This window comes from Homo sapiens, chromosome 3 (genome assembly GCF_000001405.40).
Source record: "Homo sapiens chromosome 3, GRCh38.p14 Primary Assembly".
Lineage (NCBI taxonomy): Eukaryota > Metazoa > Chordata > Mammalia > Primates > Hominidae > Homo > Homo sapiens.
The window spans coordinates 48,686,911-48,702,132 of NC_000003.12; the positions used below are offsets into that span (position 1 = coordinate 48,686,911).

Genomic DNA, 15,222 nt, shown 5'->3' on the forward strand with positions numbered 1-15,222 from the left:
GCAAGTTTTCTATTTTTATCTGTATTTATTTTTTGAGACAGGGTCTTGCTCTGTCGTCCAGGCTGGAGTGCAGTGGGATGATCAAGCTCATTGCAGCCTTGATCTTCCAGGCTCAAGCCTACTGTCTCTGGGACTACAGGCATGCACCACCACACTCAGCTTTTTTTTTTTTTTTTTTTTTTTTTTTTTTTAGTAGAGACAAGGTCTTGCTATGTTGCTCTGGCTAGTCTCAAATTCCCGGACTCAAGCAGTCCTCCCAGTGTTGGGATTATGGGTGTCTGTCTGACCCAGTTGCCTATTTTTAGGCCTAAAGTACATAGGCCTAGTGTGAGGTTCAGGTGAGGGGTAGAACTGCTAGAAACTGACATCCAGACCCTGCCTTCTCTGCACCAGGTCTGGCTCTTCAGTTCAAGACCTCTCTTGGCCCTTCCTCCTCCCAGAAGCCCTCCTGGGGCAGGGCAGAATCTCGGGGTCTGTGCTGTCTGGGACTGCCTGAAGAATAAGACTGGTGAAATTGCAATGGGGACTAGGGCTGGGCAGGAGTGGTGACAGGTGGTGTGGCCAAGAGGACCACCCTACCTGCCCAAACACGCCTTTTTATGGTACCCTCCATCACCTGGGCCCCTTTACAACACAGTCCATGGCTGCCAATGGACCAGACCCGAGGCTAGAGACCCTAGTATTGCTTCCAGGACATCTATCACAATAGCCAGCCAATTAGCTGCTGCCAGTGGCATAGGAGGGATTAAAAGCTGGACCCAAGGTTTGGATCACCTGCTATCTAATTGGCTTAAGCTGCATACGGCCCATGAGAAGACCTGTGTCAAGCGTCATGTGGTTTTTGGATAGAGGTGCTGAGACACTTAGCCAGCACAGACGCCAGAAGGTATGTAACTTGGGGATCCTTTCTGGGTAACCTTCAGGATGCTGGGTTGGAGACTGTACACCATGCCAAGAGGTTGTGCTGACTTTAGGATCCATGGAGTGGGGGTGGCAGCCAGGAGAATACTGAGCCAGGGAGGTGGTCACAGCATGTGGTGAGGCTTGGGAGGGGGACTGCCTGCTCTTGGAAAGAATGACAGGAGCACTATATACAATAAACAAAAAGATTTGTATTAGAACATATACACTCAGGGAAGAAAGAGGTATCATCATCAAATGTGGAATGTTGAAGAAATAGTTAAAATAAATAAAGACTCCAAGCACAGCTGGGACTGGCTCAGGCTGGGGCTCACAGAGGCCACTGCACATCAGCTCCAGGCTGCAGGAGCCACCACCTGGCCATACTGGCTTCCTCCCTGACGCAGCACAGCTGTGCCTGGGACACAGAGTCGCTCTCAAGTACTGGAGCAGCTAGCAAGCTCACTCCCCACTCTCCTCACTTATCTCTGTGACAATGTCTATCAGGCTCTGGAGCCCGAAGATATAGCCAGCATCCTGGCCCTCATGCACCACGGTGTCCTCGCCATACAGCCTGCAGGTGGTGTGTGCAAAGTCGATCATGCGCACATCTACAGAGCTGGCGCCGATGGGTTTGTAGGCATAGGCACCAGCAGACTCATCAGCTGATTCCTCTGACAGGTCCTCCAAATCCTCAGCATCTGAGTCCAGGACCACTTCGGGCCGCTCCTTGCCATCATAAATGACCAGCAGGGAGCTTGAGTAGAAGCGGTAGGACTCCTGTCGCTCCAACACTGCCTTGAGCTCAGTCAGCTTCTTGAGCACAGGGCCCAGGAGTTCACGGCGCAGGTACCGCCCATTGTGGAAGAACTGGAAAAGTGCCTCCTTGAAGCCCTGCACCGATAGCTTCCGTCCATGGTACTTGTTCATGAACATGAGCTGCCCACTGCCTGCTTGGTACACCTGTAGGAGAGAGACCAGCAAGTCAGGGGCTGAGGGCCATCTCAAACCCTGGACCCCGGGCGGGGGTGGGGTGGTGTGGTGGTGGCGGCATGTGACAGCCCAGATCAGATAAAGTACACCAGTTGCACATGAGCCACTGTCCACTATGCTCTCTGATCAGCCCCCACCTGGGATGCAGCCATCCAACCTGGGTTTGGTCATTGTGCCCCAGCACCCCACCTCAACATCTGGGTCACTGGAGAGGACCAAACCCTTTTGCCTTCCTCCCTACTACTATCCACAGATTCTGGACTCAGCCAACCAGACCAATCTGAGAGAGGATCATGCAGGCATGCATGCTTTCTTTTTTAACCAAAAAGCAACAGACTCATGTAGGGTCAAATCTGGAACCTTTTTATTTTGAGACAGTCTCGCCGTCGCCCAGGCTGGAGTGCAATGGCGTGATCTCAGCTCACTGCAACCTCTGCCTCCTGGGTTCAAGCTGTTTTCATGCCTCAGCCTCCCAAGTAGCTGGTATTACAGCCGTGCACCACCACGCCCAGCCAATTTTTGTATTTTTAGCAGAGACAGGGTTTCGCCATGTTGCCTGGGCTGGTCTCTAACTCCTGACCTCAGGTGATCCACCCACCTTGACCCCCAAAGTGCTGGGATTACAGGTGTGAGCCACTGCACCTGGCCTGGAATCTTTTGAGCAAACAGGACTATACCAGGGTGGGGAAGTGACAGCCACTGGATGCCCTAGCCAGCCCTAGCATCCCCCTCACCTGCATGCCACACACACGCACACCAATGACTGCAGATGTGCTCTGCTGACATTTTCGGATCTGGTTGGCTGCCTTCTCCTCTGAAGCATCATCACCATGTTGTCGTGTGCCCATCTTGAGGTCAAGGACACAAGGCACCTCGTAGCGGGAAGTCAGGTTTTCCAGTAAGATAAATTCTGAGTAGTTAAGAATAATACCCCCAAAAGGAAGTGCTACTGCATGGGTCCTTGGCACTCTCAAGGTACAGTGCCTTGATGCAGTGACCCAGAGAAGCCTGAACCCACAGGAGACTCCATTAGTCCTGCCATCCCCGACACAGGGAGTCCAGAGCTGACTATAAAGCTAAGAGACACCTTTACTTCTTGTCAGGGAACTGACGTGGAAGCAGCCTGCACCCGGACTCAACAGAGGCCTAGGCTCTTCCTGCCTGGGAGACACACATGCCATCTTCTGAACTCTTAGCTAAGTGTAGGACTAGGGTCCAAAAACAAAGTCCTCAATTACAAGTAGAACATCAAGAAAGTTCAGTAAATCCTGTAGCCTTAAATGTGAACTGGAAATATCAGTATAAACTCATGAAAATACTTTGCTCTTTAAACGTCTGCTTCTCAGCTGTGTGCACTAAAAAGGTCTAGAAACAATAACCAGAAATAATGAGTGTCTCTGGTGCACAGACCATTGACTCATTATTTCCCATTCAAGGAATCAGTGCTCCCAACAGCAGAAACTGGTAAACTATGGCCCAGTGCTTGCTGTTTATGGCCTATAAGCTAGGAATGGTTTTTACATTTTTAAGAGACCAAAAAATAGATAAAAGGCTAGGCGTGGTGGCTCACGCCTGTTATCCCAACATTTTGGGAGGCTGAGGCAGGAGGATCACTTGAGCCCCGGAGTTTGAGACCAGCCTGGGCAACACAGTGAGACCTTACCTCTACAAAGGGGAGGGGAGGGGAGGGGCAGGGAGGAAGAGGGCTGGGCGTGGTGGTTCATGCCAGTTATCCCAGCACTTTGGGAGGCCAAAGCAGGTGGATCACCTGAGGTCAGGAGTTTGGATCAGCCTGGCCAACATGGTGAAACCCTGTCTCCACTAAAAATACAAAAATGAGCCAGGCGTGGTAGCGGATGCCTGTAATCCCAACTACTTGGGTGGCTGAGGCATGAGAATCGCTTGAACCTGGGAGACGGAGGTTGCAGTGAGCTGAGATCACACCACTGCACTCTAGCCTGGGGGACGAGCAAGACTCTGTCTCAAAAAAAAAAAAAAAAGAAAAAAAAGAGAGAGAGAGGAAAAAAAGAAAAGAGAAAAGAAAACAAATATTTCCTTATGCACAGCTCATGTCCCAGTGGTGGTCTGGTGAACCAGGACTGATCAGGTCAGTCTCCTCACCCAAACACCCCAGCCCTTGGCAGGTGAGCAATGTTTTCAGACTTCTGAAAAGTCTGAAAACAGGGAGCAGCTCCTTGCCCTCTTCCTCTAGGTTACCTAGGCTAAAGCCCACCTGATGCAAGCTGGCCCCTTCATGAGGCACCCCTCACCTCCCAGAAACCCATTATACCCCACTCCTCATCATCTGCACTCCTAGGCCAGTAGCTGCCCTGAGGGAAGTGATTATTTGCCCATAATTATCATACAGGTCCTGGAATAACCCAGGTAGGAGAAACTCAACCATGACTATAAAAACCTAACTTCTCTCTCCAAGCTCCAAGGGACTTCCTCATTTCCTCTCCTCTTACCCTCAAATGCAGAGATGCCCGTGAACAAAGGATACTGTACTGGTTCCGATGCTTTGCATTCTCCTTCATTCTCTGTAACTGTTGCTGGTGACATTTCATGCTCCAAGGGTTATAGTGTTTAAGCTGGGAACTTATATTCCCCTTCTTCTCTACAGTGTAGTACAAGACTTCAGATTTCTTTAGCCACTCAAATTCTTCTTCTAACTTATGGCTATAAAGAGATAAGGACCAATAAATCAGTATGTCTTATCAGAATTCAGAAGGCCGGGCATGGTGGCTCATGCCTGTAATCCCAGCACTTTGGGAGGCCGAGATGGGCAGATCACTTGAGATCAGGAGTTGGAGACCAGCCTGGCCAACAGGGTGAAACCCTGTCTCTACTAAAAATACAAAAATTAGCCAGGCGTGGTGGTGTGCTCGGGAGGCTGAGGCAGGAGAATCACTTGAACCTGGGAGGCAGAGGTTGCAGTGAGCCTAGAAGATCGTGCCACTGCACTCCAGAGCCTGGGCAACAGAACAAGAAAGACTCAAAAAATAAATAAATAAATAAATAAATAAATAAATAAAATCCAGAAACTTTCTTTTTTTTCTTTTTTTGAGATGGAGTTTCGCTCTTATTGCCCAGGTGCAATGGTGCGATCTCAGCTCACTGCAACCTACGCCTCCCGGTTCTAGAGATTCTCCTGTCTCAGCTGGGACTACAGGCGCATGCCACCACACCGGGCTAATTTTTGTATTTTTAGGAGAGACAGGGTTTCATCATATTGGTCAGGCTGGTCTCGAACTCCTGACCTCAGGTGATCCGCCCGCCCTGGCGTCCTGAAGTGCTGGGATTACAGGCATGAGCCACCGCACCCGGCCAGAAACTTTCTACAGTAATGAAAAGTGACTTCTTGATGTGGTGGTGGCTTACCGTGTAAACATCTGCCAAAACTCTCTGAACACTCCAAATGGGTGCATTTTACCACATGTATACCTCAAGAAAGTTGATTTTAGAAAATAAAATTAAGGGACCAGTCAACCACTATTTTCTACAGCAAAAAGAACCTAAGATCCAAGATCAGCCCCTGCTCCCCAGCCCTGTATGTGGAGAGCCTTCACTGCCCTCTTCTAGGCAGTGGTACCACCTAGCCTCCAGTACAACCAGGTTCCCCTGACTCCAAAAGCTGGCAACTGGGAAAATAGGAACTGAAATTCCATGGGACTACGTCAACCTACTTAGCTACATTACATGTACTTTACTTTATATATACTATTTATATTTTCACAAGCTTTGCCAAGGTGCAAGGGTAGGATGGCCCTGCTTAGGGGGATTGCTGAGTTTCAGGGATGCCCAACTGCTCATTTCATCCCCCACCACTGGTGAACAACCTGAGGTAAAAGGATGGCTCCTCTCTTAGTCACTGCTACATCTCCAGAACACAGCCTAGCACAGAGCAGTCATAGAAGAGTGAGTGAATCTCTTACAGCTGCCAGTGCAGCTGTTTGCCCAAACTGGCATGATCTAACCAGAGTCAATTAAACAAAGAGAGGCTGAGTATGCCATGTGGGAATTAGCCACTGAATGACAAGGTACCTACTAAATCCACTTCAGTCCTTAGCTCCAGGGAACTGGGCTGTAACCAAAACCCCCAACACTTCCCCTCCCACATAGCCCAGAGTTGCCCTCTGTCTACACTCACCTCTTCATTTTCTCCTCTTTACGGTGCTGACGCACCCAGTCCTTAGGGGTCTTTTCTGTTTCTAAGACATGATGTTTTTTGTTTGTTGTCCACCTTAGGAGCTTACTTTTTGGTTCACAGTCTGAATTATCTACAATGTCCACAATTCCATGGTCCCCTTTCAATGGATATGCTATTAGACACAAGTTCCTGTCTTCATCTTCTTCAAAGCGCACAGATACCACACCTGGAAGGGGGTGAGGAGCAGAAAGAACTTTTAATTTAGCAGGAAGAAGCGTTGTAAGTAACATGATTGTAACATTTGTTTTTTTCTTACCCAGTTCCTTAGTCTCTATGTTGCCAGAGGCCCCAAACTCATCTGCAAACTTAACAAATATCAAAACAGCTAGAAAAGATGACACCATACAAGACAAGCAATTAGGGAGCAAACATGGCTGAGAGTCTTCCTCTCTGATGTACTCAACGAGGCAAGAGCCAAAGAATTACAAGACACATTTTTCCATCATTGAAAATGTTTATTAATTTTTATGTAATTCTTCTAATCCTAAAAGACTGAAAACATTGCTCTTTATAGTTTGCGGGAATTTTTAATGCCCTAAACAGAAACTCCAACAGCCTCATGGCTTGCTTTAAAGCAGAGCCTGAATACAGGGGGAACACAGGTTTGCCTGAGGGTTAAGAAGCATCCAAGAGTAAGGGAAGACTGGGTAAGCAAAGCAAAATAAAGGGGCAAACAAAACAAACCACACAGCACAAGACACCCTAGCAAAGGCTTCCCACAGTGCCCCCACACGGGTAGGCACCCAGGCCTTTTGTTCTTATAAAATATGTTTTTATTGGTCTTTGCAGTCTCACGTCACAAAATAACAAAATGAACACAAGGCAGATAGAGCTGGTTGGGGAGCACAGACATGTGGTGGCCTTGAAAGCAGCTTTTCCCCTTAAGTCTCTAGAACCTGCCATGAGTAATTAAGACAGTCTTTGAGGATGGGGCTGTCAGGTGGGGGCGTTTCAGCAGGTGCCGACGAGCGCCTTACAAACGACTGGCTGAACACCTTTCCTCCCAGGCCTCTCTGCCCCAGCATCACTCAATCTGCTCAGTCCTCGACTGCTGCAGGGGAATGCGTGCTCAGAGAGAGATGACACTTCTGAGGTGGCCCCCAGCTCTGGGTGCAGAGGAGCCGGGGTGGGGTATTCAGGCCACACTTCCCTGTGGCCACAGGGGAAAGGACCAGGGGAAAAAATGGGGCAGGGATGGCCAGCTAACAAGGGGCCTTTGGCTTTGTCCTGGAAAAAAACAACAGAGAAGGACCAAGTGAGGGCCCCCAACTCCCCCATCCCCACCGCAATACACATGCATATTCAGAGTACAGAGAAAGGCACCCAGTACATTCTGTCCTTAAAGACAATGTTTCAACAGTCCCAAAAGAACCTAAGTTGTTCTAGAGTCCTTTATGTAACCAGGTAATGCACATTTAAAATTAATTTCTTTAATGGATTCTTACTTGATTTACAAAAGACTCCCCCACTCCCCAACAAAGACCCCACCATGCTGGTGGCTGCTGATGTCCCCTATAAAATACATTATAAAAAGAAATAAAAAATTATCATATGTGAATCGAAGGGTTGCTTTCATATAGCAATTTTGGGGACATTCTGTAACAGCAAAGGGCTTGGGCTAATCAGCACAGGCCTCCCACTCCTGCATTCCATCTGACTCAACGCTGCTCCCCGGCCTACCTAATTACCCGGGCTTCTGGTTTCCTGGAGGACAAAAAGCAGGCGGCAAGTATTCTGGGTAAAATCCTCCCAAAGTCTTCCCCCACCGTCCCCCCAGTGGGGGACTATGGGTTACTGTGATCAAGAGACACCTGAACATAAAACACAACTACACTTCTACCAAAATCAAACTCAAATCCACACAACAAAACAGAATTGAGCAATCTTACCAGGGATTGAAAACTGAGGGTGTGAGATGCTGGGCTGAGGGCCAGGAGGAGGAGAAGGAGGAGAGGGAGGGAAAGCACAGAGTGGGAGGGAGTGAGGGCTCCAGGGATGGCTGCCAGGGCCTTCCATGGCCACGATCTCTCACATCTCCTCGCCAGTGTGGCAACCCCTCCAGCAGCTGGGACTTACCTTTGTACTGGGGAGTGAATTTGCGCATCTCAGCAGGGAGGGTCTCGTAGAACTGATGTTCCCTTGGGACCAGGGGCTTGCACAGGGTTGTCTCATTGAAGCGGAGCACGCATGAGTGCCCCCCGACCTGGTGGACAAAGGGCTCCAGAAGGACGCCTTTGGCGCGGGGCTCCACATCCATGGCCCTGAAGGCTGGGCTCATCCTCCGGGCGCAGATGGCGGGGAGATGGGGGAGGCAGCGGAGTCCAGCGGCCAGTACGTCTTCTGTCTGTTGTTTGTCCGTGTGTCCCTCTCGTCTTGGCTCCTTGGCTTGTTCTGGCCAGGATGCTCTGCTGGAAGCAAACAAAATGATGACATGGGGGTTCGAAGTAGCGTGGGAAGTGCCTTAGAGCTGCTCACCCTGCTCCTTCAGCAGAAAGACAAAGACAAACAGTCTGAGTTCTTGCGGGACTCCGCCCATGCCACCCACCTTGGCCCCCGCCTTCTCCGGCAGAAAAACAAAAACACTATGAGCTCATGGGGCGGGGTTAGATGCAGACAGGCAGGGAATGGGTTCAGGGGCCCTAAAAAGGCAGAGGTCCCACTACGGTGTTAGAAAGCCACTGCCGCAGGCAAAACTGATGCCATGGTGAGGTGAAATCACAATTTCAAGCCTAATATTTGGATTAAATCTTACCATTTTCTAATAAGAGTGTCAAGCTTTAAGTGGATGATGCCCAGGTCTCCCATTAATTTTATATATTATATATAATATATATTATATATATAAAATAAATATATATATATAATTTTTTAATATATATAATTTTTTTTTGAGATGGAGTCTCACTCTATCGCCAGGCGGGAGTGCAGTGGCACAATCTCGACTCACTGCAACCTCCGCCTCTCAGGGTTCAAGCCATTTTCCTGCCTCAGCCTCCCGAGTAGCTGGGATTACAGGTGCACACCACCACACCCAGCTAATTTTTGTATTTTTAGTAGAGACGGGGTTTCACCACGTTGGCTGGCATGGTCTTGATCTCTTGACCTCATGATCTGCCCATTCGGTCTCCCAAAGTGCTGGGATTACAGGTGTGAGCGACCGCACCCAGCCCCATTAATTATATTTTTATAAAATGCATTTAAATACAGGGAAAACCTGCTTACTCATTATCTAGTAAGACTCATTATTTACTTGTCCAGGTTGTCTACCCACACTGCTCCTGCCCAAGGCCAAAGACGAGCCCCATTAACCTTGTTAGCAATGGAGCTTGGGTCTAGCTTTAATGATTAACATCTGTATCTAAAAACAACTGATCAAGGCTGGTTAACTCCATTTAAAAAGATACACAGTGTTCTAGGTCACTATTTTTATCAGTTCTATCCTGATCACCAAAAGCTGGTACACACCTTTAAACCAAAGTTATGCTCTTGGGGCAATCAGAGCTCGCATCCACTCACTCAGCCATGCACTGGATGCCGCATCAACGAAGCACATTTTTGGATGCACCCTGTTAACCAGTTCAGGCCATCTCACACTCATTATCTGTTTTGTCTAATTTACAAATTAGACAGTCTCTACTAGCATTACTTACAGGGCTTGAGTTACATTTCAGTATCTGTACAGGGATTTTACTGGGAACTCCTTCAGTTCCCATGACTCTAACTGAGAGAGGAGTGAGGATGGATCTGGAAGAGATGTGCCCTCTGTCCTCTAATGTGGGGAAAGCACCTATTATGTATCAGGCTCATGACAGGAATTTCTTATGTCATTTGGTCCTGACACTTTCTTTGAGGTAGACACTACTATCCCTGTTGCAAACAATGAAGGTGATTAGAGATGGTTAGGAAATTCACCCAGGGCCAGAGACAATAAGCCACTTCTCCCAAGTGAACCCCATACAGCTGCCTCTAGGGCACATGATATCTGGCACTGCCCAGCTGAATTTTTACTTTTTTTTTTTTTTTTGGAGATGGAGTCTCGCTCTGTCACCCAGACTGGAGTGCAGTGGCGAGATCTCGGCTCACTGCAAGCTCCGCCTCCCAGGTTCACGTCATTCTCCTGCCTCAGCCTCCTGAGTAGCTGGGACTACAGGCGCCCGCCACCACACCCGGCTAATTTTTTGTATTTTTAGTAGAGACGGGGTTTCACCATGTTAGCCAGGATGGTCTTGATCTCCTGACCTCGTGATCCGCCCACCTCAGCATCCCAAAGTGCTGGATTACAGGCGTGAGCCACCGCGCCCGGCCAGTTGTTTTTTCATTTTGTTTTGTTTTTTTTTTTAGATGGAGTCTTGCTCTGTCGCCCAGGCTGAAGTGTGATCTCAGTTCACTGCAACCTCTGCCTCCCAGTCTCATGCGATTCTCCTGCCACAACCTCCCAAGTAGCTGGGACTACAGGCACCCACCATGCCTGGCTATTTTTTTTTTTTTTTTTTTTTTTTGTATTTTTAGTAGAGACAGGGTTTCACCATGTTGGCCAGACTGGTCTTGAACTCCTAACCTCAGGTGATCTGCTCACCCTGGCCTCCCAAAGTGCTGGGACTATGGATGTGAGCTACTGCACTTGGCCAATTTTTAATTTTTTCTTAAAAAAATTAAACGTTTTACTGTTTTCTTAAAAAAAAGTCAACAGGGTCTCACTCTGTCGCCCAGGCTGGAGTGCAATGACACGATCATAGCTCAAAACACCCTCAAACTCCTGGGCTCAAGGGATCTGCCTGTCTCAGCCTCCCAAGCAGCTAGGACTACAGGTGCATGCCACCACGCCTAACTAATATTTTCTATTTATAAAGCAGCCTCTTTTAAAGAGTTTAAACTGGTGTTAATCTCTTCCTTTTAGAGAGTACCCGACTATGGGCCTCAACTGAACTCAATGGCTAGGAATCAGTAAGTTTTCCCATATGCAAAGAGCAGAGAATCTAAACCTAAGGTTCTGATTACTTGGCACTACCTTCTCATCACCACAAAAGCCTCCAGGAAGGCACGTATTGAGAAGAGTCCAGAAACTCAACACAGGCAATGGAACTGTAAATATGAGTACATTCTAACCATTCCAGGCTCTATCCAGAAGATGGAGCTCTGAGAAGTCTGGCCACACAAGCCTTTTCTCTAGGTCTATGCAGACTGGTTGACACTAGTCTACTGAAAAGACCTTTTGAATAAGAGTAATACCAAAAGAAGCTACTGATTCATGGTCCGCCGACCAGTACTAAAGCACATGTCAGGTACCATAATTATGAATTGTTAAAGCACAAGATGCTCCTCATGGGCCAGGCTTTAGAAACACAATCCAGGCCAGGTATGGTGGCTCATGCCTATAATCCCAGCACTTTGGGAGACCAAGGTAGGAGATCACTTGAGACTAGGAGTTGACAACATAGTAAGCCCCATCTCTACAATTTTTTTGTTTTTTAATTGAGATGGAGTCTTGCTCTGTTGCCCAGGCTGGAGTGCAGTGGCGCGACCTTGGCTCACTGCAACCTCTGCCGCTCAGGTTCAAGCGATTCTCGTGCCTCAGCCTCCCGAGAAGCTGAGGACTATAGGCGCACGCCACCACGCCTGGCTAATTTTTTTGTATTTTTAGTAGAGATGGGGTTTCGCCATGTTGGCCAGGCTGGTCTCGAAATCCTGACCTTAATTGATCTGCCCGCCTTGGCCTCCCAAAGTGCTGGGATTATGGGCATGAGCCACCGTGCCCAGCCCAAAATTTTTAAAAAACTCAGCTAGGTGTAGTGGTGCATGCCTGGAGTCCCAGCTATTCAGGAGGCTGAAACAAGAGGATCACTTGAGCCCAGGACATTGAGGCTGCAGTGAGCCATGACTGAGCCACTGCACTCCAGACTGGGTGACAGAGTAAGACCCTGTCTTTTGCTATCACAGCAATGCTAACAACAATGCAAATCCCTTATCAACTCTGCTCAGGATTCCTTAAATGTACTCAGTTACGTAGAAAAATAACTCTGTGTAGGTATGTCTTACCCATCCCCACCTCCAACGAAAATAAACAAAAACAGTCCTTCATGGCGTCTCTAGAGTGTGGCTCAAGAGCATAGCTGGGGCCGGGCGTGGTGGCTCACACCTATAATTCCAGCACTCTGGGAGGCCTAAGCGGGTGGAATCACCTGAGGTCTGGAGTTCGAGACCAGCCTGACCAACATAGAGAAATGCTGTCTCTACTAAAAATACAAAATCAGCTGGGTGTGGTGGCGCATGCCTGTAATCCCAGCTACTCGGGAGGCTGAGGCAGGAGAATCGCTTGAATCTGGGGGGCAGAGGTTACAGTGAGCCACTGCACTCCAGCCTGGGCAACAAGAGCAAAACTCCATCTCAAAAAAAAAACAAAAAACAACAACAAAAAAAACGTAGCTGGAGGCCAAAAGGCCCAGTGAGGGTCTCCAACTTCTCTTCTCCAGAGTGTTAATTAGCTGCTGGGCATGATGTGCCACCTTATCACCCTTCCTCTTGCATCCATCTCTGGCGGTCCATAGGTTGCTGCTCTTGGGAAAATCATCATCATTTTGGGTAGAAAGATAGGAAAAATCAGGCTCATCCTTGCCTGAGCCAAGTCTGATAAGAAACTTCCAAATGTGAGGCAGAATTAGGGAAACAATTGACCATCCTGTAGTGAGGTGGAGCCACATTTTAGTACCAGTTCTGCTACTCAATAGCGTGGAGAAAGACTCCAAGTCCATGGCTCCCTTTGGGTTCGTTTTACGGTCTGTAAAATGGGAAAAGAGAGGCTTAGAGTAGATCTCTACTCTGTGGGTTGTGTAAGCAAGTTAGTGAGTGGTAACTAGTAGTTTTTTAAAAAAATTAAACAGAATACAACAAAATATGGCTGGGTACAGTGGCTCACTCCTTGTAATCCTAGCACTTTGGGAGGCCAAGATGGGAAGATTGCTTGAGTTCAGGAATTCGAGACTAGCCTGGGCTATGTAGTGAGACCTCAACTCTATAAAATAATAATAAACAAAATATCAATGCATTGCACATAGTAAGTCTTGCTTTTTGATCCTTTTGTTTTAATTATGTTCAATCTCTCAATATGAACATAAGTATGGTTTTACTGTAAAACATACTTCTCACATTTGGAGTTGCAAAGAAGTGGCACTTCTGTTCTAGGGTCCCTCACAGCCCCTATCTCTGCAAGGAAATGAAGGATCAATTTTCCAAAGATTACAAAGCAAATCAGCTTCCTCCCTAGGAGCCTCAACTACACCAGAAGAAAGAAAAGCCCCAAAGCACCAATCTCCATGTCACCTGTTTCTCTCTCTCTCTTTTTGAGCAGTGTGATCTCTAAGGTCTAAAGCTGTTTCCCTGGAAGGCTGGAAAATTAATGGTTACGATAAAGCCCATGCAATGTGTGGGCCCAGTACCTAGAAAGACAGGAAATAACTGCAAAATACTGGCTTCAGATTTAGCATCTATTTTAGCTTTCCACATTGCCTCACATTTGTCCATGAAACTATGAACAGGTAAGAAACACAGAACATCCATCCTAGCACAGCATACAGTTTTCCCACTCAGTCCCTCCCCCAAATCTATCAAATTGGTTTAAGGATCTGTTGGAAACAATGCCTTAATATTCTTAACTTTTAAAGTAATGCAAATAAAATGGCTATGACTCATGAAAGCCCCTGGGTCCTTAGTTCACTCATCCAGAATTTAGTTAAAGAGGCTACAAAATGGGATCCACTGGGGCTACTTACTCTGGCTTAAGAAAAGCCCCAGGGTCAGGCAGTCACAGAGGGGTGGCATAAGGCACACTATACTGATGGTGGAAAAACAACCCTTACCACCCATACCTCCTGTGTGTTCCAGAGCCACCACCCAGCATCTGCCTGGTACACATTCATATACAAGCCAGGGTTAATTATGCAATGCCTCATACATTGCTGGTAGCAATGCAAAGCCACTTTGGAAAACAGTCTGGCAGTTTCTTATAAAGTTAAACATATACTTATTATATACATAGCAATCCCACTCCTAGGTGTTTAACTAAGTGGAATGACAACGTGGCTGGGCGCGGTGGCTCACGCCTGTAGTCCTGGCACTTTGGGAGGCCGAGGCGGGTGGATTACTTGAGGTCAGGAGTTTGAAACCAGCCTGGTCAACATGGTGAAACCCCATCTCTACTAACAATACAAAAAATTACAGGCCACTGCGCCTGGCCCATAAGTATGTATTATTTTAATAATCAGAAAAGATTATGCTGGCCAGGAGTGGTGGCTCATGCCTATAGTCCTAGCACCCTGGGAGGCTGAGGCGGGCGGATTGCCTGAGCTCAGAAGTTCGAGGCCAGCCTGACCAACATGGCGAAACCCTGTCTCTACTAAAAATACAAAAAGTAGCTGGGCGTGGTGGCAGGCGCCTGTAATCCCAGCTACTCGGGAGGCTGAGGCAGGAGAATCACTTGAACCCAGGAGGTGGAGGCTACAGTGAGCCGAGATCGTGCCAGTGCACTCCAGCCTGGGCGACAAGAGCAAGACTCCGTCTCAAAAAAAAAAAAAAAAAAAAAAAAAAAAGATTATACTTAAAAAGATCCTGCTGGGTGCGCTGACTCATACCTGTAATTCCAGCACTTTGGGAGGCCGAGGCAGGTGATCACTTGAGGTCAGGAGTTCGAGACTAGCCTGGCCAACATGATGAAACCCCGTCTCTACTAATAATACAAAAAATTAGCTAGGCGTGGTGGCAGGCGCCTGTAGTCCCACCTGCTTGGGAGGCTGAGGCACAAGAATCGCTTGAGCACGGGAGGCGGAGGTTGCAGTGAGCTGAGATCGCACTACTGTACTCCAGCCTGGGCAACAGAGCGAGACTTCGTCTAAAAAAATAAATAAATAAAAATAAATCCTACTCATTGTCCAATAGTTTCTACATACAAACTCATTGGCTGAAATTTCCTTTTGCATCCATTCTATTTGGACTCATCTGCCTCACTTTGAGTATCTTGAATCACTCATGCTAAGGTCAGCCTTGACCTCTACTAAAATAAATAAATTTTTAAAAAATGAGCTGGACATGGTGGTGGACACCTGTAATCCCAGCTACTTGGGAAGCTG

At 47.7% G+C, this 15,222-nt stretch overlaps 1 protein-coding gene across 26 annotated transcripts in view, besides 3 other annotated features; it reads right to left on the reverse strand.

Moving 5' to 3' along the window:
* Positions 895-1,395: an enhancer, noted in NCBI's record as "H3K4me1 hESC enhancer chr3:48725238-48725738 (GRCh37/hg19 assembly coordinates)". NCBI's record gives its function as "activates a minimal SCP1, AML or CMV promoter by ChIP-STARR-seq in naive and primed H9 embryonic stem cells {active_cell/tissue: H9 hESC(naive and primed)}" and the evidence as "EXISTENCE:reporter gene assay evidence [ECO:0000049][PMID:30033119]".
* Positions 1,093-15,222, reverse strand: part of IP6K2 (inositol hexakisphosphate kinase 2) — a 29,219-nt gene continuing 15,089 nt past the window's right edge. For 6 of the 26 annotated variants that reach the window (NM_001005909.3, XM_006713200.2, XM_024453571.2 and 3 more), the window contains 5 exons: positions 8,180-8,508; positions 6,044-6,269; positions 4,397-4,572; positions 2,628-2,803; positions 1,093-1,863 (listed from right to left, as the gene is read on the reverse strand). In NM_001005909.3, coding sequence (NP_001005909.1) covers positions 1,363-1,863; positions 2,628-2,803; positions 4,397-4,572; positions 6,044-6,269; positions 8,180-8,381 — 1,281 coding nt within the window. In that variant the 5' untranslated portion in view covers positions 8,382-8,508 and the 3' untranslated portion in view covers positions 1,093-1,362. Of the gene's footprint in view, positions 1,864-2,627; positions 2,804-4,396; positions 4,573-6,043; positions 6,270-6,359; positions 8,512-15,222 lie in introns of those variants that run through there. The other 20 variants (NM_016291.4, XM_006713199.5, XM_024453568.2 and 17 more) reach the window with 11 other exon arrangements.
* Positions 1,396-1,896: an enhancer, noted in NCBI's record as "H3K4me1 hESC enhancer chr3:48725739-48726239 (GRCh37/hg19 assembly coordinates)". NCBI's record gives its function as "activates a minimal SCP1, AML or CMV promoter by ChIP-STARR-seq in naive and primed H9 embryonic stem cells {active_cell/tissue: H9 hESC(naive and primed)}" and the evidence as "EXISTENCE:reporter gene assay evidence [ECO:0000049][PMID:30033119]".
* Positions 8,354-8,943: an enhancer, noted in NCBI's record as "H3K27ac-H3K4me1 hESC enhancer chr3:48732697-48733286 (GRCh37/hg19 assembly coordinates)". NCBI's record gives its function as "activates a minimal SCP1, AML or CMV promoter by ChIP-STARR-seq in naive H9 embryonic stem cells {active_cell/tissue: H9 hESC(naive)}" and the evidence as "EXISTENCE:reporter gene assay evidence [ECO:0000049][PMID:30033119]".